This window comes from Homo sapiens, chromosome 8, assembly GCF_000001405.40.
Source record: "Homo sapiens chromosome 8, GRCh38.p14 Primary Assembly".
NCBI lineage: Eukaryota > Metazoa > Chordata > Mammalia > Primates > Hominidae > Homo > Homo sapiens.
The window spans coordinates 130,398,036-130,425,943 of record NC_000008.11 but is presented as its reverse complement, the minus strand read 5'-3'; the positions used below and the strand labels follow the sequence as shown (position 1 = coordinate 130,425,943).

The following is a 27,908-nucleotide window of genomic DNA, read 5'->3' as shown; positions in this document are numbered from 1 at the left end:
GACGGCTGAACTCTGAAAGTATGGATTTCTTCTTCCTCCCTCAACTCATCCAAACCATGGCTAAGCTGGGTCAGTTCTACCTTGGCCATTGTAGGGAGATTGGGAGGACTTTGGAGATACTATACATCAAGTTTGTTAGTCTGTCAGCCGCTTTAGAACAGGAATGTGTCTTCTTTCTTAAGTGTCCTTAAAACCTAGCCCAGTGCCTGACATAACTTGTAGGCATTTTAAATGCTTATGATGATTAGCCTGTCATTCTCTGATCCCTAAGATTGAATTTGGAGCCATCTTCAGTGCTCCCAGGATCCCCCTTATGCTTAACCTTTTCAAAACATCTGTCACTCTGATCTTTCATTGTCTGTCTGTTCCCTCTGCTGGTCCATGAGCTTCATGAGACCCATGCTGTTTTTTGTTCTTTGTGTTTTTTGAGACAGAGTCTTGCTCTGTCGCCCAGGCTGGAGTGCAGTGGTGAGATCTCGGCTCACTGCAACCTCTGCCTCACGGGTTCAAAGGATTCTCATACCTCAGCCTCCCAAACAGTTGGGACTACAGCTGTGTGACACCATGCATGGCTTATTTTTGTATTTTTATTTACATATATATATATATTTTGAGATGGAGTCTCACTCTGTCACCCAGGCTGGAGTGCAGTGGCACAATCTCACCTCACTGTAACCTCTGCCTCCCAGGTTCAAGTGATTCTCCTTCCTCAGCCTCCCAAGTAGCTGGGATTACAGGTGCCTGCTACCATGCCCAGCTAATTTTTATATTTTTAGTAGAGATGGGATTTGGCCATGTTGGCCAGGCTGATCTTGAACTCCTGATTTCAAGTGATTTCGCCCACTTCGGCCTCTCAAAGTGTTGGGATTACAGGGATAAGCCATTGCGCCCGGCCTGACCCACACTGTTTGTCCACTCTTTTTTTTATTTATTTATTTATTTATTTTTATTGAGACGGAATCTCGCTCTGTCACCCAGGCTGGAGTGCAGTGGTGAGATCTCGGCTCACTGCAACCTCTGCCTCCCGGGTTCAAGCGATTCTCCTGCCTCAGCCTCCCGAGTAGCTGGAACTACAGGCACCTGCCACCATGCCCGGCTAATTTTTTGTATTTTTAGTAGAGACAGGGTTTCATCGTGTTAGCCAAGATGGTCTTGATCTCCTGACCTCGTGATCCGCCCACCTTGACCTACCAAAGTGCTGGGATTACAGGCCTGAGCCACCACGCCTGGCCTGTTTTGTCCACTCTTGTAAGTGCAGTACCTGTCTCTGGGCCTGCTACCTGGTAGATGCTCAGGAAGTGCTCTTTTAAATGAATGAATGCACCTGGTCCCTTTTATCACCTGCTGAGAAGGGCAGTGTTTCCAGCCAGTATCTCTTCCAATCCCAGCATGTCACTGGGAAGATTAAATTGTTTAAAAAAAACAAAAACAAACGCTGAGCCTACAAGGTAGCCTCTGGGCTTTTTGAAGGGAAGAGCAAAGTCAGAGAGCTGTTACTGTTTGAATCAGCGGTGCTGAAGGGCTCTTGGGAAGTGGAGTGCTCTCCGAGGCTTGTCTACATGGCAGAGGCATGTGGATAATTGCATCAGGAGAGTGGGGGCTAGGCCGTCAGACCAATAGGCTGGGGGTGGGCCGGAGTCCTCCTGGGCTGGGAGATCTGGGACAGTGTTTTCCAGAAATTCTGGTTGACTGAGTTTGCCTGTATAGACCAGAGAATGGGCAGCCGCAGTCTCATGTGAGGACATTTTGCAACTCTCCCATTTTCAAGCTCAGCTCACATTTATTGATTTTTTTTTAACCTCAAGGCCTTTTATAGTTTCTTTTGTTATCCATTTTAAATTATATTTTTGTAATAGCTTTATTGACATATAATTCACATGCCATGCAAATCACCATTTAAATTGCAGAATTCAGTGGTTTTTAATATATTCAGAGTTGTGCAGCCATCGCCGCAGTCAATTTTAGAACATTTTCATCACCGCCCTTCAAAAAAAACTCCATCCATACTCATTAGCAGTCACCCCCCATTTTCCCAATTCTCCTCCCCCAGCCCTAGATAACCTTTAAAGTACTTTCTGCACAATTACTTTTTCTCCTCCAAATGTAAACATAGTAAATGCTCATAACAGAAAATTCAGAAAGAACAAGAAAAGATAAAGAAGCAAATAATCATCATCCATAATTATCCAGCCAATGAGAGATAACCACTTTTGTCTCTCTATGCTGATATACTCATAGACACATAGTTTTTGCGAACAGTGACATCTTACACATTCTTTTCAACTTATTCCTTCATATAATATATAGGGACTCTCCTTCCATGTTGAATAAATATAGATTTACATGATCATTTTTGCTGGCCATGGATAGATCATAATTTATTTGACTGGTTCTTTTTTAATGGACATTTAGGTTGTTTCTAGTTTTTGCATGTACATACTTGTCCAAATACTTACTTTTGACAAATTCCCAGAGGTGGAATTTCAGGGACAAAGGGTAGGCACATTTTCAAGTGTTGTACATATTACCAAGCCACCCTCCAGAAAGGTTTACCAATCTGTATTTCTATGAGCAATTTTGCAAGTATACATTTCTTGCCCGCCCCAGGCATTATCAATTATGTTAATTTTTGCATAGCTGATGGACTAAAGATAAATGTTCTTTATTTGCATTTTTAAATTTAATGCTAAAGTTGAACATATTTCCCAGCTATGCAGGTGGCTGATGCAGGAGAATCGCTTGAACCTGGGAGCTGGAGGTTGCAGTGAGCCGAGATTGACCCACTGCACTCCAGCCTGGGTGACAGAGCGAGACTCTGTCTCAAAAAAAAAGTATAAATATGGATTGTAATAGTTGTTGTAAACTGACCGAAACCAATGGCGCAATTTAGTTCTATTACTTGGTACTGTGCTTATACATAGACTTGGATTCTAGACCTGACTTTGCCGTCAACTGTGACCTCAGGCTGCTTAACCTCTGAGGACCTCAATTTCCTATTCTTTAAAGTGTTGGAGGTGAAGCAGATGGATATTTGAGGTTGTTTCCGGATCCATCTTTATCATTCCATGTTAAGAATAATAGAAGGCAGCAGTGGAGGAAACTGAGGCTTCAGCCTGCTTACTGGCTTGCTCCAAGTCCCAGAATTCACAAATGACAGTGGAGATTTGAACCCAGAACTTGCTATGAACCCAGGACCAAGCCTCTTGCTGTTCCCTGGCTCCTGTCCCCTTTATGGGAAATGAACCAAGATTTGTCAAGATGATTGTTAATCTCCAGGCCTACTTCAAGGAGTGTGAATCCCCTCCAAGAGGCTGATCCATGGGAGAGAGTTTTGGGAGCACAGAGAAGGAAGGGTTTAGATTATTAGATTTCTAAGGACAATGGAATCTTGACAGAGACAGCTTAGGAGGAACTGCAGAGAAGCCCGAGGCAAGGGAGAAGGCGGGAAAGTACACTGTGTAAGAGACAAGCACAGCCCAGGGAGCAGGAGCCAGGAAGCGTGGGTGATCCGAGCCTGGGAATTTACTTTTCTATCAAGGAATTAGAAAGTCAGGCCTCATCTGGAAAGGGCTAGATTAGATTAAATCAGTGTTTCTCTGTAGTCACAGTTTATATGCTCCTGGACCCTCACCAGGTGACTGTGATGGTCTGGCTCCAGAGTCCTCATCGGCTTCATCTCCACGCCCCCTTCTTCCCTTTCCTCCCCTTCCTCCACCTGCAGCTGTTGTTGAAGATGTGCCCATCCCCCTCAGGCCTCCACACTGTGGCTCAGGTTGGTCTCTGAAGGCCTGTAAGGTTTGTCTACATGATGAGCTCCTTATTCTGAGCTGGAGTATTCCCCTCTTCCAGGAGGCCGTTCCTGACCAGCCTGATTCTGGGTAGAATTGACCACCTTCTTGTTTGTGCCCACCCCCTCTACCTTGTACATTTCACTGTCTGTTTTGTTCATACCTCTGTCTCCCCCACTATTTTGTGGCTTTCTGAGAGCAGATATTCTTATATTATGTTTATTTGGAACTCACAGGATTTCTCACATAGTAGGTATTCAGGTGAAGCCTTTTTTGGATGAATTAATGAAACCTTCTGTAATTCAATTCAGTAGACACATATTAAGGAGACTGGGATGGTGTATTAGTTAGTAATATAGTGATAATAGCTGCAATAACAAATAGTCCCCACGATGTTTATTGGCTCAAACACAAGAAATGTTTTTCCTTCTTCATGTAAAAGCCCAAAATGTGTATTTCTAGTTCGGTGGGAGTCTCTCATCCATGTGGTGGCTCATAGACCTAGGCCTCTGCTACATTCTGTGGCCCTGCTGCCCCCTGGAGCTTTGTTGCTGTCAGCTTCCACTGGCAGAAGAGGGAAGGAGCCTGGAGAAAGCACACCCACTTCTTAAAAACCTTGGCCTGAAGAATGGCATGCAACATTTCTATCTCATTCCTTAGCTAGAAGTCTGACACATGGTCACACCCAGCTGCAAGGGAGTCTGGGAAATGTAGTCTAGCCATGCACCCAGGAGGAAGAGAAAACAGAGTTTTGGTGAACTAGCAGTGCTGCCACAGATGGTGAATGGGGCTCAACATCTTGTCCTCTGAGGCTTGGTTGAAGGGATGGGGAATGTTTGGCTTGGAGAAGCAAAACTCCTGATAAAGTGATATTTGTGACCAGGGCTATAATTTGCCAACCCCTAGTCTGGAGAGATCCAAAGTCCCTCCCAACTCTAGACACTGTGATTTTTTTGTTGTTGTTGTTATGCACCCAGCGTATGCAGAACACTAAGACTGTTGCTGGTAGGAGGGGAGGAGAGAGGCAGAGGACAAGCAAGCTTGAAGTAATTTGCCCAAGGTCACACAGCTAGTAAGGGATGGAGCTGAGATTCGGGTCCAACAAGCTGGTAACAGAGCCTGCCTGCTTAGTGGCTATACTGTATGTTCCTCATTGGAGCCCGATACCCATTCTACCAAGTAGGTATTATTATTGCCAGTGAGGGAAGACTCATAATTTTGTGTTAAGAGGAATGAATGAAGTAACTTTTTTTTTTTTTTTTGAGTTGGAGTTTTGCTCTTTTTGCCCAGGCTGGAGTGCAGTGGCGTGATCTTGGCTCACTGCAACCTCTGCCTCCCGAGTTCAAGTGATTCTCCTGCCTCAGCCTTCCAAGTAGTGGGATTACAGGTGTGCACCACTACGCCTGGCTAATTTTTGTATTTTTAGTAGAGATGGGGTTTCTCCATGTTGGCCAGGCTAGTCTCGAACTCCTGACCTCAGGTGATCCGTCTGCCTCGGCCTCCCACAGTGCTGGGATTACAGGTGTGAGCCACCGCACCTGGCCTCAGTACTTCATTTATATTTATGGCTGAATAATTGCATTGTATGGCTGTACCACACTTGGTTTATCCATTCCATTCCTTGGCTGATAGGTTTTGGGTTGTTTCCACCTCCTGGCCATCGTGAATAGTGCTGCTATGAACATTCATTTACAAGTATTTATTTGAATGTACATTTTCACTTCTTCTAGGTATATGGCCAGGAGTGGAGGTGCTGGGTCATCTGATAACCCATGTTTTGACTTTTCCAAAGTAGCTGAACCATTTTGCACTCCCACCAGCAATGTATGAGGGTTCCAGTTTCTCTACATCCTCGCCAAGACTTGTTATTGCTATTGTGTGTGTGTGTGTGTGTGTGTGTGTGTGTGTGTGTGTGTGTGTATTTCATTATGGCCAGCCTAGTGGGTGTGAGGTTTTATCTTACTGTGGTTTTGATTTGCATTTCCCTAATGACTAATGCCTTTAAGCATCTTCTCACCTGCTTTTTGGCCACATAAAGGAATCTTTAAGTAGGTGTAAGCTGGTTGGCTGGGCGTGGTGGCTCACACCTGTAATCTCAGCACTTTGCGGAGCAGAGATGGGAGGATTGCTTGAGACCAGGAGTTCGAGACCAGCCTGGTAAACATAGCAAGACCCCCATCTCTATTAAAAAAAAAAAAAAGAAGAAGAAGGTGGTGCAGGCAGATGTAGGGAAGCTCCAGGGATAGCAAAGCCCCAAGGCTCCTGTGTGTGCCTAGTTTTGAGGAGCAAGGAGGAAGAGTTATTGGAAACCGGAGACAGCGAGGGCTGTGCGAAGGAGCCCTGGCCAGAGCTGAAACTTGGATTGAGGCCAGCAGCCGTTTCACAGTGACCCCTAGAGAGGGAGCCCCAGGGAAGAGATCGGATGCCTCAGCCTCCCTCTCCCTCCCTCCTGTCTTCTGCTGGGGCTCCCTGTTGCTGAAACCACCCTGTAGCAGAGGAGGAGCAAGCCCTTGCACTAGTCCCTGAGGTCAATTTGGGGTGCAGAGTCAGACGGAAAAGGGAGGACCAGTGGAGGGGGACTGGCACAGTGGCTGCGCAGCTTCCTTTTCCCGTAGTTCTTTGGGTTCGACCTTCCTATGTTGGCATCTCCCCAAGACTGGTAGTGAGATCGGCTGCAGCCGTTTTTAGCTTCACATCTTTCTTATAACATCCAAAAGAAGGGAGAAAACCCCATTTCAGAAACTTCTGGACAAAAGAGAAAGGGCTTTCTCAGAAACCTCCAGCCTCATATCTTATTGACCCCAATTGGGTTACATATTCCTTCTAAAGTAATTAGTGGCAGACGATGGGGATGGTTTTAAGCCAGTGAGGCCCACACCTGGGACTGTGGGCACATGTACTTCATGGGAAGGGAGATCCCAGTTGAAATCAGCAATGAGGAGCGATGCTGGGCAGAAAACCCATAGCGCCGTGTCCTTGGGGAGTCCTTGGACCATCTGTTTGACTGAAGCCTCGGTTTTTTTCTGCTCCACCACACACTGGCTGGGGTGAGACAATGCGTGCGGGACCCTGGCCTCCAGGAAGGGTCCCTGCCCTGGCTGCAGGGCCTGATGTGCCATGTTCGGCTCAGGCCTGCTGAACAGCACCATTTCCAGCTTCTGCCTTTTACCAGGCCTCTTAGGGAGGGTCTCCTAAGCCTCTCATTCCTGTGGCCCATGTCGCTGAAGGGATGAACTGAAGCCCCTTCCACAGCAGTGATTCCAGGGATTGAGACTTCACTCCATCAGAGCCACAAGGTCAGAGTTCAACTAGGAGTTTAGGGAAGGAGATCTTTTTGTAGATTTTGCCACAAAAGAAAGAATAATTAAAAAAAAAAAAACTCCTATTTTTTTTGGCACCTATTGTATGATTCTATCCAAATAGGCAAAGCTATATAAACAGAGGTTATATTGTTATTTTTGCCGGGGGTGTGTAGAGGGTGGAACGGGGAGTGACTGCTTATGGGTTCGGGGTTTCATTTTGAGGTGATGGTTGCACACTTCTGTGAATTATGCTAAAAACCATTGAATTGTACACTTTATTTTATTTATTTATTTATTTATTTATTTATTTATTTTGAGACAGAGGTCACCCAGGCTGGAGTGCAGTGGCGCTGTCTCAGCTCACTGCAACCTCCGCCTCCTGAGTTCAAGTGATCCTCCTGCCTCAGCCTCCTGAGTAGCTGGGATTACAGGCTCATGCCACCATGACCGACTAATTTTTGTATTTTTAGTAGAGACGAGGTTTCACCATGTTGGTCAGGCTGGTCTCAAACTCCTGACCTCATGATCCGCCCGCCTGGCCCTCCCAAAGTGCTGGGATTACAGGTGTGTGCGACCGTGCCGGGCCTGAATTGTATACTTTAAATTGTGATTAATTGTATGTGAATTATAAGTCAAGAAACCTGTTGGAAAAAAACATTAAAGAAAGACTTATGCTCCTATTCTCTTTGTTTTATTTAAGGCTGAAGTTGATTGCTACCTTATTCTCTGATAAAAATTATGGTTTACACCATCTCCTTTCCTCTCCTCTCTCTTCTGTCCTTGTGGCCTTGGGGCAAGTTCTCCTCCCCTCCCTTGGTCTGTGGGTCTTGTGGAGCTGACCCGCTCCCCGTGTCCATCTGGGCACATAAGCAATACCTGGCTAGTCCAGTGAGTGTTCCAGCCCCTGGCCACAGAAATTAGTTCAAGGATGGATGAACAGTCAGAGTCAATCCTGAGACTTTTATTAGAACCACCAGTACAGCGAGGCTTTCCTGCAGGGATTGCTGAATTGTGTCTGGATGTAAGCCTGAAAGCCAGTGGCCCCTTTGGTGAGATCCTGCCTGAAAATGCCATCCTTCCCCTGAACAGAAATACAGAGCCAACAGATGAAGACTAACCTCTCCCTGACCACATCCTCTGAGCCCTTGAATCTAGCCAGGCCTGAATTTCCATCCTTCCTGGACTTGTCAGTTTTGTCAGCCCATGCATTTGCCTCTCCTTTTTTTTTTTTTTTCCCCTGAAGCCAGGACTTGTGGGGTTTTCTGTCTCATGAAGCATGTCTAGGTATGGGTTCTGCAAATTCGGACCCTCCAGCCTGACCCCTTTTCACAACAATCTCTGAACTGTGAGAAGGGACTGCTCTTTCCGCCCGTATCACTTGTGTCAGAGCGAGCCAAGAAAACTGCTTCCACAGAGGAAACGGGCTGACAATGGAATGTCCCGACCCAGCACATGAAGTCCTTTGGAAGGGCCCCTGGAAGGGCATCTGGGAACCGCCCAGCATCCTTTCCATGGGCCCACAGGGAACAGCCCTGCTGCTGCGGCACATAGTCCATTGCATTTGTGTATGTGTGTATGTGTGCATGCAGTTGGACTTGGGTTGTATATCTGTCTGTCTGTATGTGTGCAGTTGTACGTGGGTTGTTTTCTGTGTGTGTGCAGTTGTACGTGGGTTGTTTTCTGTGTGTGTGCAGTTGTACATGGGTTGTATTTCTGTGTGCAGTTGTACATGGGTTTCACTTCTGTGTGTATGTGTGCAGTTGTACATGGGTTGCACTTTGCATGTGTGTATGTGTGTATGCAGTTGTACATGGGTTGCACTTCTGTGTGTCCATATGCGTGTATGCAAATGTACACAGATGTGTGTACTGGGAGCTATGGCCTTTATTTCTTCCATTTGGCTATGTATTATCCCACTTGGGTCATAGTCATTCAAGATTTGATGTGTTTATAACAGAAGAGAGAAGGTTGCCCCATCAGCTCAGGCTGCCGTGATACCAGAATGGGAAGTCTGATGCTCTTTCCCACAGTGGTTGTGGCATGTGGTCATTATGATTTCTGTTTTACCACTGTGGCATCAGAGTCTCCGAGGAGCCAGTGGACTTTCCATTAGGTGGCAGCCTAAGCAGGTAGCTGAGCCAAATCTCCTGCCCCTTTTGGGGCACTAATGCATTCTGCCTCAGACTAATTCCTTGTAGTTCTCTGTCATTCAGGGGAAATAGGGTTCGGAAAGGTGGGAAGCCTTGATTGATTTCTAAGAGAAATCTAGTTTACAGCAGCCCCCAGAAGATGACAGTCAGGATAACCTATTTTGGAGATAGTTGCAAAGCAAGTGACTTGCAGGACATCCATGGCTCTGATTAGATGTTGTTGACTGGTCGGCAGCTGGGAACTGACTCTGATGGGAAATGACCGTGTGTGCCCAGAAAGTCTTGGCATGAGGGTGTTTGTTTAGGCATTCATTAATTAATTCATTCAACAAACATTTACTAGGCCAGGCACTGTGCTAGCTGCGGCGTCTTGTTTCCCTGAAGTTTTCTCTGGAGAGGAGGAAGAGACGGAGTGTGGGGTTGCTTTGCTTACAATGCTCTTTTGCCTGCTTGGGGATTTTTCAAGGGCCTTCCATTCTAATGGGCACCCTGAAATCAGCGGCTTGTCCTCCGGAGTTGGCGACACTAGTGGGGCGGGGAGTGGCGTCGGGCCTGTGGTGAGTCAGCTGCATCCAGGCTTAGCATCCTGTCCAGGTGTGGCCCGCTGCGCCTGGGAGACAAACAGCTGTTGAAATAGAAAATATTTAAAACCTCATTAAAAAGAGAGTCTAGACTCTGGGGAAACTTCATTTTGAAAAGGAGTCTTGTGGAAATTGGTTGATCCTTCTAAGTTTACAGGCAGTAAAATTTCTAAGAAATGGAGATGGATTTTCAGAAAGATGTTTGAGGACTGGAACAGTGGTGTTCCCTGGTCACAGGACTTTGTCAGGGTTGGCTGAAATGTAATTTGTTGTAGGACTTCCAGTGGAAGGGCCAGTGTTAGGTCTCATGAATATTTTCCTGTAGTTTTTTTTTTTTTTTTTGAGATGGAGTTTCACTCTTGTTGCCCAGGCTGGAGTGTGATCTTGGCTCACTGCAACCTCCGCCTCCTGGGTTCAAGCAATTCTCCTGCCTAAGCCTCCCGAGTAGGTGGGATTACAGGCACCTGCCACCATGCCCGGCTAATTTTTGTATTTTTCGTAGAAATGGGGTTTCACCATGTTGGCCAGGCTGGTCTTGAACTCCTGACCTCAGGTGATCCACCAGCCTCAGCCTCCCAAAGTGCTGGGATTACAGGCTTGAGCCACCACACCTGGCTGTTTTGTTTTGTTTTGTTTTGTTTTTTTAAGAGACAGGGTCTTGCTGTCTTGCTGTGTTGCCCAGACTGGAGTGCAGTGGCACAGTCATAGGTCATTGCAGCCTCAATCTCCAGGGCTCAAGTGATCCTCCTGCTTCAGCCTCCAGAGTAGCTGGGACTATAGGTGTATACCACCACACCCCACTAGTTTTTAAATTTTTTTAGAGATGAAGTCTCACTATATTGCCTAGGCTGGTCTTGAACTCCTAGCCTCAAGCTATCCTTCTGCCTCAGCCTGAATTACCCTGTAGTTTAAAAGGCATCCCCAGTTTCCCATTTTGACAATGCATATAGAAGTCTTCCTGATGCTTCCCTTATTTGTTTTTATCTAATTCTGTTAATGTATTCATCAACAGATAATTTATTGAGCACCTGCTGTGCACTAGGCATTTTAAGAGTTATGGAAGTGTGCCGGGCACAGTGGCTTACGCCTGTAATCCCAGCACTTTGGGAGGCCAAGGTGGGGGGATCACCTGAGGTCAGGAGTTCGTGACTAGCCTGACCAATATGGTGAAATCCTGTCTCTACTAAAAGTACAAAAATTAGCTGGGCTGTGGTGGCGTATGCCCATAATCCTGGCTACTTAGGACGCTGAGGCAGGAAAATTGCTTGAACCCGGGAGGTGAAGTTGCAGTGGACCAAGATCTTGCCACTGCACTCCTATCTGGGCAACAGAGGAAGACCCTGTCTCAAAAAAAAAAAAAAAAGAGTTATAGAAGTGAACAAACAATATTCCCACCCTCATAAATAAGACACGTATATCAAGAAAAAAGAATTTCATTGTTAAATAGATCATGTACTTTGGCTGATACATTTGCAATATTTTGAGGCTAGAGGGCCAAATAATTGGCCAAGAGAAGCATCAGTTATGTGTGTATTTCTGGATGGAAATCACAAGGCCTGATTCACAGCAGGCACCTGAGTTTAATATTATTAATGCCAGTTTTACAGATGAGAAAACTGAGGTTCAGAGAGGTAAGGTGGCTTGTCCAAGGCTGGTAGAGGGAAGAGCCAGGACTCTCAAACTCTTGCCCCTTAATTCTGAAACCCTGGCTTTTTCCTTCTGCTTCTCTGCACCTTTCAGGTCAAGAACCTTGTAAATGCAAATCTGCCTGTTTGTATAGGTGGTAACAAGGTTTTAGATGGAAGCACAGACTTAATGGCTTGAAACAACACACATTTATTATCTTAAAATTCTGGAAGTATCGTCATTGTGCCTTGGACATGGCAGATGGGTCAGCAAACATTCGTCCAATGAAAGGTCTTTCTAAGACTGTGCCTTTGAACCTACTGTTCTGTCCATTCAGAATTCCCTCTTCCTACCTTTCTGTCTGGTGTACTCCTGTTCATCCTCAAAACCAGAAGCTGCTACTATGTCCCCCATGAAGCCACTCACTATCCAGTCCTCTGTATTATTTTCTCTACTTTATAGCAACTTCTGTTCTTGCAGGTACCAGCAATCATCGATTCACCTGTCTGCCTTACAGCAGAGGAAAATGCCTCACTTGGGTGGGCTCCTCATAGGCAACTGTTGGAGTGTTACATAAATGAATGAATGAATGAATGAATGAATGAATGAATCTGGCAAAATAGAAGATGCAGTCAAATATATATTTCATATTTTAACAACATAATCGGCACTCATTAGATGTTATCTGTGGACTGACAAGTGAGGAACTGATCTCCTTTTTTTAAATTAAAAATGCAGATATATAGGGATTCCATGAGATTTCAGAGCCACAGATAGATGGTAGTGGGCTGCTGTGTGGGGTGAAACTTTATGCAGGCACAGATATGCTTTGATGGATTTTTGGGGAAGTCTGAAGGAGATGATTCAGGCTCCTCATTTTTCAAACTTACAGTCTTCTAAGGCCTGATCTGGGCTTTATCTTGATGAGATTTGAACATTTCTTAGATATACTTTATTTCCTTTGATTCTGAGATGTCTTTGATTTCAAGATGCATTATTGATATCATAGCAGTGTTGGGAGAGAAAATAGTTCTGCCACATTATATTTTATTGATAGGAGACACGTCCTGTTTCAGAAATGCTAAAATGTGAAAATGTGGTCATCATAAAATGGAGGAAATACGGTAATTACAAAGAGTGTGGTCAAGTGGGCTGATGTTAATTGGACCTACTCCTAAGTGTTAGGAATGAGCTCGAGCGAGGCTGGTCTTGTTAGTGTGTTAAAGATCTTTTTTTAGTTCTAAAACTAGAAGGGAAATACATGCAGCAGAGACCTCTCCTGAGGCTGGCCCTGCTCTGAAAGGCTGGTGAGATTTAAAGGAAAGATAAGTCTTTGTAATCAGACAGACCTAGGTTCCATTTATTAGCTGTAAAAACTCTGGCAAGATACTCATCCTGTATTTGCCTCAGTTTCCTTCTCTGTAAAATCAAACAGCAATACCTGTTGCCTAGGTTTGTTATGAAGGTTAAAGAAGTTATTGCTTGTGTAGTTAGTGTCAGATACACATAATAACTATGCAATATATGCTAGCTTTGTTATTTTTAAAAATTGTGGCTGGGCACAGTGGCTCACTCCTGTAATCCTCACACTTTGGGAGGCCGAGGTGGGTGGATCACCTAAGGTCAGGAGTTCGAGGCCAGCCTGGCCAACATGTGAAACCTCATCTCTATTAAAAAATTAGCCAGGTGTAGTGGCATGTGCCTGTAATCCCAGCTACTCAGGAGGCTGAGGCAGGAGAATCACTTGAACCCAGGACGTGGAGGTTGCAGTGAGCCAGGATCGCACCACTGCACTCTAGTCTGGGTGACAAAGCAAGACTCCATTTCAAAAAAAAAAAAGAAGAAAAGAAAAGAAATTGTTATTTATTCTGCTAGACTCGTATTAGGTCATTCTTGCATTGTTATAAAGAAATATCGGAGACTGGGTAATTTATAAAGAAAAGAGGTTTAATTGGCTCATGGCTCTGCAGGCTGTACAGGAAGCATGATGCTGGCATCTGCTCGGCTTCTGGGGGGCCTCAAAAAACTTAAAATCATGGTAGAAGGTGAAGGGGGAACAGGCACGTCACATGGCCCAAGCAGGAGCAAGAGAGAGAGCAAGGCGCAACACAGTTTTAAACGACACATCTCACGGAAAGTCACTCACTCACTATGGCAAGGACAGCAACAAGGGGATGGTGGCTAATCATTAATGAGAAATCTACCTCCATGATCCAGTTACCTCCCACCAGGCCCCACCTCCAATACTGGGGATTATAATTCAGTATGAAATTTGCACTGGGACACAGATCCAAACTCTATCAGACCTGTTGTTATTTATTCTATTAAAATTGTTATTTATCCTGTAAGGGCTGTTGTTTCCTCTGTAAAGTGGGATGACATTCCTAGCTGTACCTCTCACTGCTCTGGGCTGGGTGAAGACTCAGCGTGATTGAAAGGGGCTATGTGGCCGATACCCATACAGGGCCTGCGTGGTACCTGGTGAGCACTGGGTAATGGGGGCTTCCTGCGAGGGAGTAAACTCCTTTCCATGCAGACCCCTTTCCATCCTGGTTCCCTTTTCTTTGGACAGGGTGGAGGCTGGGACACTGGGGTGCTGCTCCTGGAAGGTGACTTCCAGGCCTTGGTTGTATTCTCTCTGTCACTGGGACAGTGGTCAGTGGACACCAACAGGATTTCCAGCCACATAAAACATGCCTATGGTGCTGGCCTTGCTGGGAAGCCGCTGAGTCAGGCCCCTGGGCTGCAGATGTCATTTCTAGTTTTGGGCTGTCATAATACTGGCAGTTGTTCATTGTACACCTGCTTTATGCTGGCATTTCTACACTTATACAACTTCCTTTTTTTCCTCCTAACAACACTCTGTTAAAAGTATCATCATCCCTGTCTTAGGGTGGTTTCCCCAAGAAGCCAGCACTGAGAAAATATTGGAGCATGCATAGTTTCTTTGGGAGGTGATCCAAGGAAACACAGGTGGAGGAATGAGGAAGGGAGACAGAGAAGAGAAGGAGCCAACGAATAGCATGTTATCAGGCAGGAAACTAGGGTTTCATTCCTCTGGGGACCTCTCAGGTTGTCAGAACCAAGGGGCAAGGAGCTGGGATATTGTTTCCTGATTTCCACTCATCCTTGTCTGAAGGCCACAGCTAGAAGCATTCATTTCCTGGCACTCCGAGCCTGTGCCTTGGTGGCTGAGAGCAAGCTCTTGGGGCAGAGTGGCAGGTGTTGCTTGCAGTAAGATGCACCTGGCCTGTAATGACCTGTGAGAGTCAAGGCATTGTGTGTGGGCATCATCATAGTCTGCAGAAATCTCCATTTTTCAGAAGAAGACACAGGGCTGGGCCCAGTGGCTCATGCCTGTAATCCCAGCAATTTGGGGGCCCAAGGTGGGTGGATCACCTGAGGTCAGGAGTTCGAGACCAGCCTGGGCCAACATGGCAAAACCCCGTCTCTACTCAAAATACGAAAATTAGCTGGACATGGTGGTGGGTGCCTGTAATCCCAGCTACTTGGGAGGCTGAGGCAGGAGAATTGCTTGAACCCGGGAGACGGAGGTTGCAGTGAGCGGAGATTACGTCACTGCACTCCAGCCTGGGCGACAGAGCAAGACTCTGTCTCAAAAAACAGAAAAAGAAGATGACACAGGTTCCCAGAAGTGATTTTTCATCACTCAAGATCAGCCAGAAATTAGGTGGGAGAGCCCGTGTTGGAATGTGTCTTTCTGTCCCAAGGGCTCTCCTCTTTGCTGTGCTTGGGAAATTCCCCCAGCCCTGGGCTGCAGCATGAGGGGGCAGCTGCCCAGATGGCTCTGCGCTCAGCATACTCGCTGAGAGTGAATTCAAGATTGTTTGAAATGACCTTGAAGATATGATCACACAATGGGCAGCACAGCAGACCCTAGGCTCCCTTGGATTTCACATTCCACACTTGCACTTCTTCCCAGGGGAACCCTGAAGAAAATGTATAATTTGTGGTGGCCCAGACTGGGTTGAGCCTGCTCCTGCTGGCATGAGGATTGGATTGCGTGGCTAGTTAGTGAGCCTAGCCTCCCTCCGAGTATAGAATAAACTTGAGAACTCTCAAGTTTATTTCGTTGTTCTCTTCTTGGGGGTCCCGAGGCTGTTTCTCTGGCATTCACTTATTCTAAGAGTCACAAAATTCTTAGGATGTAACTTTTTAAAATGCTGAGGATTTATTAATCGCTTATAGTAGGTAGGTCCTATGGTACCAGTACGTGCCCTTTTTCTTGTTGTCGGTGAGGTTTTTTGACGAAGGTCTTATTCCTTAAGCAGAGACCACGTCTATTTTGCTAACCAATACTTCCTTGATATTTAGCTTAATATTTTTTCTTCAGTATATTAGTGGATGAATAGATGCATTTTCCCAGAAGATAATTCTCACTATGGGAAGCTGTAGCCAATGGAAAATAGCATGCAGTAGGCACTTAAGAGATGTTTGGAAGGCAGGTCCTATGACATTGTGTTCACACCCAGATGATATCACTGACAACCATTCATCCTGTCTGTTTCTATACCTGTCCCTGCCCCACCAGACTGTGAGCTCTCTATGGGCAATGACCTTGTGTTACTCAACTCACCCTCCTCACTGTCAGGCCCAGTGCCTGCAGTATACTCAGAGTAGGCTATAAGACATGCAGTCACAGTTGTCATGAGTGTATAATCCAGCAAGACAGTGGTTCTGGTCTTTTGGGTTGTGGGTCCTTCACAGTGACCTCTTCTTTGGAGAGGAAAGACCCAAACCATCTTTGATTGTTATCATTTGAATCAACAAATGAGGCGGGCGGTTGGGGGCAGAGCCAAAGCTAAGGTCCAGCAGCCTCGGCATTGTCAGGGAGAATACCTCAGCCCTTCTTGGCTTTCTTCTTGGGGTGGGCTTCTGCAAGGTCTCCTCTGTATCTCTCTGAACTGTAGCCTATTGGATTATCCTGGGAAGATAGAGTTATCAGAAGGGCCCATCTCAAACACATGCATGCTGGCCAGGGAGAAGAGGGATTAGGAAAAATAGCAGGAGTCCAAAGTTACCTGGCCTGAGGTTACAGATGCCTAAATCAGGGCTGATCAGGGTTGGTAGGGAGGCAGGACTTGTTGCTTGCCAGCAGATATGGAAACTGAAAGACCTAGCGATTAGTACAAAATCCCCACGACCAATTCAAATGGTCTCAGCATTTACATTCAAGAATCACCACAGGAGAGGAGGTTTTTTGTTTTTTTTTTTGAGACACCGTCTCACTCTGTCACCCAGGCTGGAGTGCAGTGGCGCAATCTCGGCTCACTACAACCTCTGCCTACTGGGTTCAAGCTATTTTCCTGCCCCAGCCTCCCAAGTAGCTGGGACTACAGGCGCCTGCCACCATGCCTGGCTAATTTTTGTATTTTTAGTAGAGATGGGGTTTCACCATGTTGGCCAGGCTGGTCTCGAACTCCTGACCTCAGGTAATCCACCCGCCTTGGCCTCCCAAAGTGCTGGGATTACAAGCATGAGCCACCACATCCAGCCAGGAGAGGAGATTTGACTTACCTCTATGAACAATCAGGAAATGATACCAAATGGGGTGTGTTTGGTCATGATCCATAGTGCCTTGCTTAGCACAGCAGATAAAGTTCTGAGCTTTGAAATCGAGCTCTTTCAAGTTTGAGTTCTGAGTCTGCCACCACTAACCAGCTGTATGACTTGGGAAATGTTATGTAACTTTGGTGAGCCTCAGTTTCCTTATCTAAAATTCAGACAATCACAGTTCCTTGCAAAGTTCCTTGTAGGATTTAATGAATGTGCCTAGGATGGGGTCTGATATGTAAAAGGGTTCTTCAGAGAAACAGAATTTATAGGATATATGTAAGGGGATATTTATTATAGGGAATTGGCTCACCCTTATAATAAGTGGAATTGATTATGGAGGCTGATCTGCCATCTGGAAGCTGGACAACCAGGAAAGCCAGTGGTGTAATTCAGTCCTAGCCCGAAGGTCTAAAAACCAGGGGAACTGATGGTGTAAATCCCAGTCTATGTTTGAAGTTCTGAGAACCAGGAGCGCCAGTGTCCAAAAAAGAAGATGCATGTCCCAGCTCAAGCAGAGAGCAAACTCACCCTTCCTGCTACTTTCTGTTCTATTAATATTATGCCTTCAATGGATTGGATGATGCCCACTCACGTTGGGAAGGGTACTCTTCCTTACTCAGTCTCCTGATTCAAAGGCTAATCTCTTGCAGAAACACCCTCACAGACACAACCAGAAATGCTGTTTTACCAGCTATCTGGGCATCCTTTAGCCCAGTCAAGTTGACACATAAAACAACAATAAGGGGTTGCTATGGTTATTAGCAGTGCTGTTAGAGTTCACAAGTGGATAGATTACTGGGCTGGGAAAGTTTGAGAGAGCTTCCTGGAAGAGGTGGAATTTCAACTGGGACTAGACAAGTTGGGCTTCTGATCGCTTAAGAGGAATCGTATCACAAAAATATATTTGGTCTATTTTCTTTAGGTCCCTGATTTTCTAAGTACAGCTTCCACAGAACAGGAAAGAATTACATCAGTAAATAGGAAAAGTGCTTGGTTTGATATTATGGGGAAAAAATTGTCCAAGCTGTAACCAGCTGCAGATGACTCAAGAGTTTATAACATCCTCTATAAAAGGATACAAATCCCAACATTCGTGGAGTCACTTCTGTTGAATAAAAAACACCTATTTGAGGAATGGCAATAAAGAAGGGTTTATGTACCAAATGATTTATGTCCCCGATTCCTGCATGGCATCAGGAATTCCTGTCCTGACTGACAAACTGTAAGTCGTAGAACAGAATTTCAGTGGAAAAGCAGAAACGTGGGTGGTAACAAATCTGATGCTTGATGGTAATGAATTCTGGTTCACTTTAGCAGGCAGGTGCTTTAAATCTTTCTGTCGCTGGTGGCAGCGGGAAATGAGAGGTTGTACAGAAGACCGTGGGGGTTGACAGACATTGTTCACTCACTCCTTCGACAGATATTTATTGAGCGTCTATGTACAGATGCTGCCGCTCCCCTGCTCATGTCTTTGAGTGCTCCCCGGAAGGCACTGCAGACAGTGCCCATTCACACAGAGGGCTTCCTGCATCTCAGCCTGAGACTATGCCCTGGTTGTGTCTGGGCAGTTAGGGATGGAAGGTGGCAGGTAAATGCCCCAGATTCCTTTCCCTTCGGTGGGGCAATTCTGAGATGTGCTCTCCACAGTCTCTCAGAAGGTCCCTTAGTGGGATTGAGCCTGAGGTGCCCAAGCAATAACCTTGGACACGTTCCTCAATGTCTGAGTTTCAGCTTCTTCTAGGATAGGTATGGGGATTAAACGAGGCAGTAATATCACTACCACCACAACTAGATCCCATGCATTCATCAGTTACGGGGAGCCAACCATTTTTTGCTTAGTGCTTTAATCATGTTCTCTTATTAATTCTTGCTATGACTGCATGAGGTAGGTACTTTCCTTATGGTTACTAGCTGTGCTGTAAGAGTTCAGAAATGGACAGATTGTTGCGCTGGGAAAATTGGAGAAAGCTTCCTAGAAGAGGTGGAATTTCAGCTCGGACTGGACAAGTTGGGCTTCAGATAGCTTAAGAGGAATAGCATCATAAAAATAAGTTTGGTCTATTTTCTTTTAAGTCCCTAATTTTCTAAGTACAGCTTCCACAGAACAGGAAATCCAATTTTAAAGATGAGAGAACTAGGGCAGGCACAGTGGCTCATTCCTGTAACCCCAGCACTTTGAGAGGCCAAGGCAGGTGGATCACCTGAGGTCAGGAGTTCGAGATCATCCTGGTCAACATGATGAAACCCCATCACTACTAAAAATACAAAAAATTAGCTGGGCATGGTGGCACATGCCTGTAATCCCAGCTACTTGGGAGGCTGAGGCAGGAGAATCGCTTGAACCTGGGTGACGGAGGTTGCAGTGAGCAGAGATCGCGCCACTGCACTCCAGCACTCCAGCCTGGGTGACACAGCGAGACTCTGTCTCAAAAAAAAAAAAAAAAGAACTAAAGTATGAAAGGATAAATAACTCATCAAAGATTCATAATCTGGATTCTAACCCAGATGTGTTTGTTCTAGGGGCCAACTTTTAATAAGTCATACTGTTAGAGTACAGGATCTGGCAAGGAAGCTGTCATCATCATTATCATCATCATCATCCAGTGCCCAGTACTGGATGTGGGTGACCCATGTTTATGGAATTTAAGAATAATGAATGAATGAATGAATATTAGTCCTTTAAGATCATGAACTTTCTTTTCTTTTGTTCTTTGCTCTGTCTTTAGGCAGCAGGAGCAGTCCCTGGCACAGGGTAGTTCCCTGCTTCTAAGAAAATTATGGTAATTGAAATGTATTCTTTGTTTTACCCTTAACAACAACAACAACAAAAAACCAACAGAAAGAAAAGAGTCCCAGAAATGAAATCGCCTTAGTATAGGAACAGTATTTATCTTCAGGTATTGGGATAATAATTGATTTTAATTTTATGCCTTAATATTTTTTCTGATGAACCTAGATTACTTTCTTGACTAGTATAGGAACAGTATTTATCTTCAGGTATTGGGATAATAATTGATTTTAATTTTATGCCTTAATATTTTTTCTGATGAACCTAGATTACTTTCTTGACTAGAAAGAAATAATCTCTGTTTGAATAAAAAATCATTCTCAGAGCATCAGATGGGTCTCCAAGTGCCGTGGGTGAGGTACGGACATAGACGTAGCTGCTAACCTACTTCGAATTAGTTCAGAGTCAAGGCAGCAGAATGTGAACTGACTATGGTGTCACACCTCACACAGCTCTTTCACACTTCATCTCTCTGAAGGTTCACGATGGTCTAGTGACGTAGGCCAGGCTGGGATTAGTGGCCTCATTTCATAAACCTGAGGGCTAAAGAGGCTCGCTGACAAGGGTGAAGCTCTCCATAGGGGTGGAATTGGGACTGGAACTTTTGATGTTAGGCCCAGTGGCCTTCCCCCCGACCCCAGCAGCCTCTCATGAAGACCCACTGAAGGAATGGGACAAGAGTGGAGGTAGGTTGGTACATCACAGACTCATGGGGCAGCATCTGCAAGACCCTTTTATGATTTATGCAGAGGAAGCCTGGCTTGGAGTTTTTTAGACCACCCGGGTCAGGATCTTAGTTCTGCCACACACTGTCTTGGACACGTTATTTCATATCTTGTGAGTTATGATTTTTTCATCTATAAATCTGGCCCAGTGTCTCCCTTGCAGGATTGTTGTGTGAGTCCAACTGGCACCAAGGAGGTGGGAATTCTGCAAGAACAGCTGTCAGTGGTCATCATACTTGTGCTGTCTATGTGCATGGCTTTATTGATACTCGGTGTTCATAAATTAATATTCCCATGTGAATTAGGCAGTTTTTTCTGAGTAGCAAAAACCTCAGGATTTCAGAGGCTTGTTTGACAGCAGATATGTATCTTCATGCTCAAGGATCTATGGGTTGGTTGTGGTTTGGCTGATCTAGTTGCATGGCTGGTTCATGCCGGACTTGTGGTTGATTGGGATCTGCTCCACATGTCTTTGATCTGAGTTCAGACTAAAAGGCAGCAACAGACAGCGGCTATGGAGACATATTCCTTTTGTGGTGCATCATAAGAGGGCAAGAGGAATAGACTTGGGAACAGCACACTGTCACTTCTAGCCACATTCCATTGGCTACAGCAAGTCAGTGATCCAGTCCAGAATCCAGTGGGACAGGGAAGTAAACACCATTCACTCTAGTGGGAAGTACTACAAAGTCCCATGACAAAGGGCAGAAATGTGTAGTTCACAGTCATGTTGGAAGTGAACTGGGAAGACTCATGCAGTCTACCATACTAACTCAGCTGCTCCACTTGGGTGAAGCAAGGAAAGCAAAAGAATAATAAACTGAGGAGCAGGCTGGGAGAGGCATTGACTATGTATGCAAGTAACAGATACTTATTTTTCATAAGCGTGTGCTTAGTAAAGTTGGGTTCTGGAGGTCAATATTATAGGAAGATCATGATCTTTGATTCTGAAGGATAGCATATGTTTATCCTTATGCCAGTACCACACTGTCCTGATTTCTTTCAAAGTCAGGAAATAGAAGTCCAACATTGTTCTTCATTTTCAAGATTGTTTTGGCTATCCTGAGTCCATTGCATTTCCATATGCATTTTAAGATAAGCTTGTCAGTTCCCCATCTAATTTAAATTTGTGATTCAGTGCTCAGGAAGATTCAATTGCTGTTGGCATCTAAGTTTGAAGGAAATGGTTTGATCGTTTATCCAACAAATATTTATTAATATTGTTGTGCCGGGCATTGTAGAGTTGGTGCTGCAACATACACCAATAAACAAATCCAAACACAATCTTTGTATCCACATGGCTTACAATTGAAGAAAATTAGCAGATATTAATCAGTCTTCACGTTGAAACATAATTAAAAACTGAGATAAATTCCATGATCTAATCTGAAGATGCAGAGTTTCTCTGAGAATATAATATTTAAGGAAGTACAGGAGTTACCTAGGCACTGAAGATGAGAGAGGAAGCCTTCCAGACAGAGAGAACAACATGGGCAAAGGACCTGTGGTGGAACAACTGCAGCATGTTCCAGGATCTAAGAAAATGTCCAATGGGCCGGGCACAGAGGCTCACACCTGTAATCCCAGCACTTTGGGAGGCCAAGGTGGGCAGATCACCTGAGGTCAGGAGTTCGAGACCAGCCTGCTCGACATGGCGAAACCCTGTCTCTACTAAAAATGCAAAAAAGTAGCTGGGCGTGGTGGCGGACACCTGTAATCCCAGCTACTTGGGAGGCTGAGGGAGGAGAATCAATTGAACCCAGGAGGTGGAGGTTGCAATGAGCCAAGATCGCGCCACTGCACTCCAGTCTGGGCAACGAGTGAAACTGTCTCACAAAAAAAAAAAAAAAAAGAAAAAGAAAAAGAAAATGTCTTATGGCTACAGCATTGTGCCTGGTAGACAGGATAAGGTCAGAGAGGTGAACAAGAGTCAGAACATGTTCAGTGATTTGGATTTTTATTCTAAAGCACTGAGAAGCTGTTGAGGGATGTTAAGCTAGTGGTGGAGAGTTGAGGGATGACACAATCAAATTTGTGTTTTCAAAATTGTATTCTTCATATCACTCAATTGTTAAGTGTCAGTCTTATTTGGATCTGGGTTTTTTAAAAAAAAACACTTGTTAAAGACACCATTTTTGACATTTATGAGACTATTAGGAATTTGAACACTGTGTGAATATTTGATGATATCAAGGAATTATTGCTATCTTTTTAAGGTATGGTAGTGGTTTTACAGTGTTATTTTTTTCCAAAGACCTTATCTTAGAAATCCATGCGGTAATATTTATGACTGAAATGATAAGATGACTGGAAATTTCCTCAAAATAATAATGCACGGGCAGGAAGGTTGAGGGTTTGGATGTGGTGGGTATGATTATGGGTTAATGTGATTAGACTGGCTGGTGGGTTCAGGGGGTATATGATACACTTCTCTGTTTTTATGTCTGTACACAATTCCCTGTAATAAAAGATTAAAAAAAAAAAAACCCCACAAAAGATTATTCTGCTTTCAGCATGGAAGACTAGATTTCAGAGGGAGAAATGGTGATGAGGGGAGATCAGTTAGGAGGCAGCTGCAGTGGCCCAGGTAAGAATGATGGAGGCTTGGTCCAGAGCTGGACCAGTGGAGGTGGGGAGAGATAAGTGGAGAGATCTTTAGGAAGTAAAGTAGACATGAATTGGGGATGGATTGGATATGGGGGTGAGGGAGATGGTGGAACTGAGATGTCTCTCGGTTTTTCGCCCTGGATGGAGATGCCACATTGAGCTAGGAATCACTGGATAAAAGCCAAGGAGGTCCCTTGGCTCAATTTATTTTTATATCCCCACCTCTGTTTCCCTCTATTCTGCAAATATTGAAGCTGTTCCCTTATGTAACATCTTTTATCCCAGACTTCCTGTGCTCTGTGCACTCAGCAATTAATTAAGCTTTGGTATGCATGAATTAATTAAAATCCTCTCCCAGGTTCAGAGGGGCTGTCCTGAAATATGTATATTCTTCTATATCTGCCTTCTTCCTGCAACTGGTTTCCTTTGCCGGGTGAACACTTTTGCTTTCTCGTGGGCACCCAGCTGCAGGTGTCTGTCTGTCTGTCTGTCGCATCCATCAGCACACTTTAATTTTATGTTTAGGAGCCTAGGTCTAGAGAAGTTAATGACTTGTAAATTGCTCTCCAACGTAGAGCTAGAAATAGAATGCCAGAAGGATTCCTGAGCACTTACTTGCACAGAGATTCAATGATGGAGGTATCAGCCCCACCATAGGAAGCTGAAATAGTAGTTTCCTTCATATTTCTGGACAGCCACTCTGTGGTGCAAGAACATTCCTGACAAAGGTGCAGCCTCCATATGAAATCCGATCTTGGTCTGAGACAATGTCTTCTGCCCAGTTTCACCGGATGACTCTTGTCCCCTTTTTGTCCTGCCCCCTATCCAGGTCGTTTTCTGATGTGACGGCTGAGACATGAGATCTTCAGCCTCCAGGCTCTCCAGTTTTTCGTCGAGAGATTCACTATGGAATCGGTGAGTGATCTCTAGCCCATCCTGTCCAGAAAACTCGGCGTGGGAGATACAGCGGGATTCTTCTTGGGAGTTGAAATGCAAAATTTTATCAAACACAAGCACTGGAATCTAACAGAGACTGTGTGCACGATTGTTATTGGAGAACAGATCTCTAGCATTTGTACAGGTGTAGACTGCCTACTATGTTTTCTGTCACATTATCCATTGCCTTTATTTATAAGGAAAGTTGTCTGGGTGGTGGTGCCTATAAGAAGTCAAGAGTAGCAACAACAGTGACACCAGCAACACTATAAGGTGCTATAGGAGTCCACTGTGTTTTAGGTTCTTTAAAAACATTTCAGGCTGGACATGGTGGCTCACGTCTGTAATCCCAGCACTTTAGGAGGCTGAGGTGGGTGGATCATTTGAGGTCAGGAGCTCGAAACCAGCCTGACCAACATGGCGAAACCTTGTCTCTACTAAAATACAAAAATTAGCTGGGTGTGGTAGCATGTGACTGTAATCTCAGCTACTCGGGAGGTTGAGGCAGTGGAATTGCTTGAACCCAGGAGGCAAAGGTTGCAGTGAGCCAAGATTGCACCATTGCACTCCAGCCTGGGCAACAGAGTGAGACTCCTTCTCAAAAATAAAAATTAAAAGTACAATAAAATAAAATTTCATTTACTCCTCCCAACAATCCTGCCAAGTAAGAATTTCTACATTCAGTTGGGTGCAGTGGCTCATGCCTGTAATCCTGGCACTTTGGGAGGCCGAGGCGGGAGAATCACCTCAGGTTAGGAGTTCGAGACCAGCCTGGCCAACATGGTGAAACCCCATCTCTACTAAAAATACAAAAAATTAGCCGGGTGTGGTGGCAGGCGCCTGTAATCCCAGCTACTCGGGAGGCTGAGGAGGGAGAATCACTTGAACCCCGGAAGCAGAGGTTGCAGTGGGCCAAGATCACACTGTTGCACTCCAGCCTGGGGGTCAAGAATGAGACTTCGTCTCAGAAAAAAAAGAATTTCTACATTCATTTTACGGGTAAAGAACTTGCCCAGCTAGATGTAAGTCAATTTTCCCTTACTGCAGGACCCTTGCCTTTTTTTTTTTTTTTTGAGACGGAGTCTGGCTCTGTTGCCCAGGCTGGAGCGCAGTGGCGCTATCTCGGCTCACTGCAAGCTCCGCCTCCCGGCTTCACGCCATTCTCCTGCCTCAGCCTCCCAAGTAGCTGGGACTACAGGCGCCTGCCATCACGCCCAGCTAATTTTTTTGTATTTTTTTTTAGTAGAGACGGGTTTCACCGTGTTAGCCAGGATGGTCTTGATCTCCTGACCTCGTGATCTGCCCGCCTCGGCCTCCCAAAGTGCTGGATTACAGGCGTGAGCCACCGTGCCCACCTGGCCTTTTTTTTTTTCCTATGCCACGTTACCTCTTGGGAGAGGTAGAGATATGATTTATTCCATTTTGCAGCTGGGAATACTGAGGCCTGGTGTAGGGACACATGATGAAGAGTCTAAGGAGTCTGGCCTCAGTGGATGAAAGTTTGTGTTAGAGGATGATAAAAATTAGACTGGACAGGAAGAACCATGAAAAGCTAGGCCGGGAAAACTTGTAGAGTCTGAGAATCTTAAAAAGCTGGCAGACTGACTGGCACAGGGTTGACCTGTTGGGGCCAGGGTTTCTAAGAAGTCCGCGTAGTGGAAAGTGTGTGGGTGCTAGAAGGGGTGGTTGAATCCTGGCCCTGGCACTGATTTGCTGTGTGATCTCACACAAGACACCGGCTTTCGGCCAGGCGCGATGGCTCACGCCTGTAATCCCAGCACTTTGGGAGGCCGAGGTGGGCGGATCACCTGAGGTTGGGAGTTCGAGACCAGCCTAAGCAACATGGAGAAACTCTGTCTGTACTAAAAAAGACAAAATTAGCTGGGCATGGTGGCACATGCCTGTAATCCCAGCTACTTGGGAGGCTGAGGCAGGAGAATCTCTTGAACCCGCGAGGCAGAGGTTTTGGTGAGCCGAGATTGCGCCATTGTACTACTCCAGCCTGGGCAACAAGAGCGAAACTCTGTCTCAAAAAAAAAAAAAAAAAAAGACACTGACTTTCTCTGTTTCTTCTGTTTTCTTATCCATGAAAAAGGGGTAATATTTATGTTTCAGATTTTTTTTGTGTAGTTTAGAAAAAATGTAAAGTGTTTTACATAAAGTAGGCACATAGGGCATTGTAATTACTTCAATTTTTAGGTTGAAAATAGTTTTTAAAGGATGATTAGATAAGCAAATGTGTCCTGAATGGGTGGATGAAGTGAGAGGCTGGAGGCAGAGAGGCCAACCTGAGAGGCTTTTGATATGATCGAGACATGATACCGCCTTCCAGGGTAAATGAAGCTTTACTTTTATTTTCAAAATTTTTCTATTATAGGATTACCCAAAGTCATGTTTATTTTGTTTTTTTCTTTTTTTAAGTCAAGAGTCCAGCACAAAATGGCATTCATTTTGCAGGTATCTTTTCAGGTGATATTAATTATAATTGCAATAACTCAGTGCATTATTAGAATTAGGTTTTGCTGACAATGACATAAAATCTAAAAGAACATTGGCTTAGAGAAGTGTCTCTCTTACCTAAAAGTTCAGGTACAAGTAACACAGATTTTCTACAGCAATCTGTGAGAGACCTGGGCTTTTTCTCTAGTTTGTTTGCCATGTGAACCTCTATTCCCAAGGTCACCTCACAGCCCCATTTTAGCTGCTTCTGCTCTAGCCATCACATCTAACAGCAGGAGGAAGGAACGAGACAGAGAAAGGCACGTCCCATCCTTTAAGGATGTTTCCTGGAAGTTGCACCTCCTGTTCCTACTTATATTCTACTGGCCAGAATTTAGTTCTCTGGCTACATTTTGCGGCAAAGAAGGCTGGGAAGTGTAATCTTTATTCTGCAAGACTGTGTGCTTACCAAATTGAGAGTTATTGTTATAGAAGAAGAGAGCAGATATTGGAGGACAAATCTTTTCCTCCACACTACTCATTCTTGAAAGATCGTGCTGACAGGATAGGCTCTGCAGCCAGCCTGCTGGAGTTTGCATTCTGGATCCATGGTTTCGTAGTTCTGTGACCTTGTTGAAAAGCTACTTAACTTCTCTGTGCCTCGGCTTCTTCCTGTTCTCTCCTGTTTTATAGACTTACAAGGGTTGTTTTGAGCACTAGTTGAGTTAAGCTAAAGCACTTGGAACAGTGCCTGGTACATGGTAAGTGCTATATAAGTTCTAGCTATTATGACTACTACTATTGCTAGTAGTATCTCTCTAGTACTTCTACTACTACTGCTACTGCCACTTCTGATATGACTACTGCTACTTCTGTTACTTATTACTATTAATACTTTTACTCTTACCATGACTGCTGCTTCTACTAATATTACCACTACTGCTTCTACTGTCACTTCTGCTGCTGCTACTACTGTTGTGACTACTTCTACTTCTCTTCTACTATTATTACTACTATACCATTATTATTTTTAAATTGTATACTCATAGCATAGTAAGTACTATTTTTCCCAATAGAAGATAAGAGTCAGAGAGGATAGTAACTTGTCAGATGCCATTCATGGTCTACCCTTGGGTGGGTAGGGGATAGCGACTTGAAGGAAGCATAAGGCAGGTTTCTGTGGTTGTGCTAATGTGCTGTTTCCTGATCTGGGTGATGTTTCATTAGTGTAAAAGTTCCTTGCATGACACACTTATGACATAGATAATTTTGTGTATGTATCTTATATGTCAATAAAAACATGTCATGTAGCTGAAAAGTGGTGGAACATGAGTGAAACCTACACTCGCCTGATTCCAAAGCCTGTGCTCTTAGCTGTAACACAAGGCC

At 44.8% G+C, this 27,908-nt stretch overlaps 1 protein-coding gene across 15 annotated transcripts in view, besides 1 other annotated feature; it reads left to right on the top strand.

Annotated features, from left to right (window-relative positions):
* ASAP1 (ArfGAP with SH3 domain, ankyrin repeat and PH domain 1) overlaps positions 1-27,908 on the top strand; it is a 391,571-nt gene that overhangs the window by 17,731 nt on the left and 345,932 nt on the right. For 13 of the 15 annotated variants that reach the window (XM_047421810.1, XM_047421806.1, XM_017013468.2 and 10 more), the window contains one exon: positions 23,974-24,059. In XM_047421810.1, the coding sequence (XP_047277766.1) occupies positions 24,051-24,059 (9 nt within the window). In that variant the 5' untranslated portion in view covers positions 23,974-24,050. Of the gene's footprint in view, positions 1-16,882; positions 16,901-23,055; positions 23,125-23,973; positions 24,060-27,908 lie in introns of those variants that run through there. The other 2 variants (XM_011517052.3, XM_047421807.1) reach the window with 2 other exon arrangements.
* Positions 6,391-6,894: an enhancer, noted in NCBI's record as "H3K27ac-H3K4me1 hESC enhancer chr8:131431296-131431799 (GRCh37/hg19 assembly coordinates)". NCBI's record gives its function as "activates a minimal SCP1, AML or CMV promoter by ChIP-STARR-seq in naive H9 embryonic stem cells {active_cell/tissue: H9 hESC(naive)}" and the evidence as "EXISTENCE:reporter gene assay evidence [ECO:0000049][PMID:30033119]".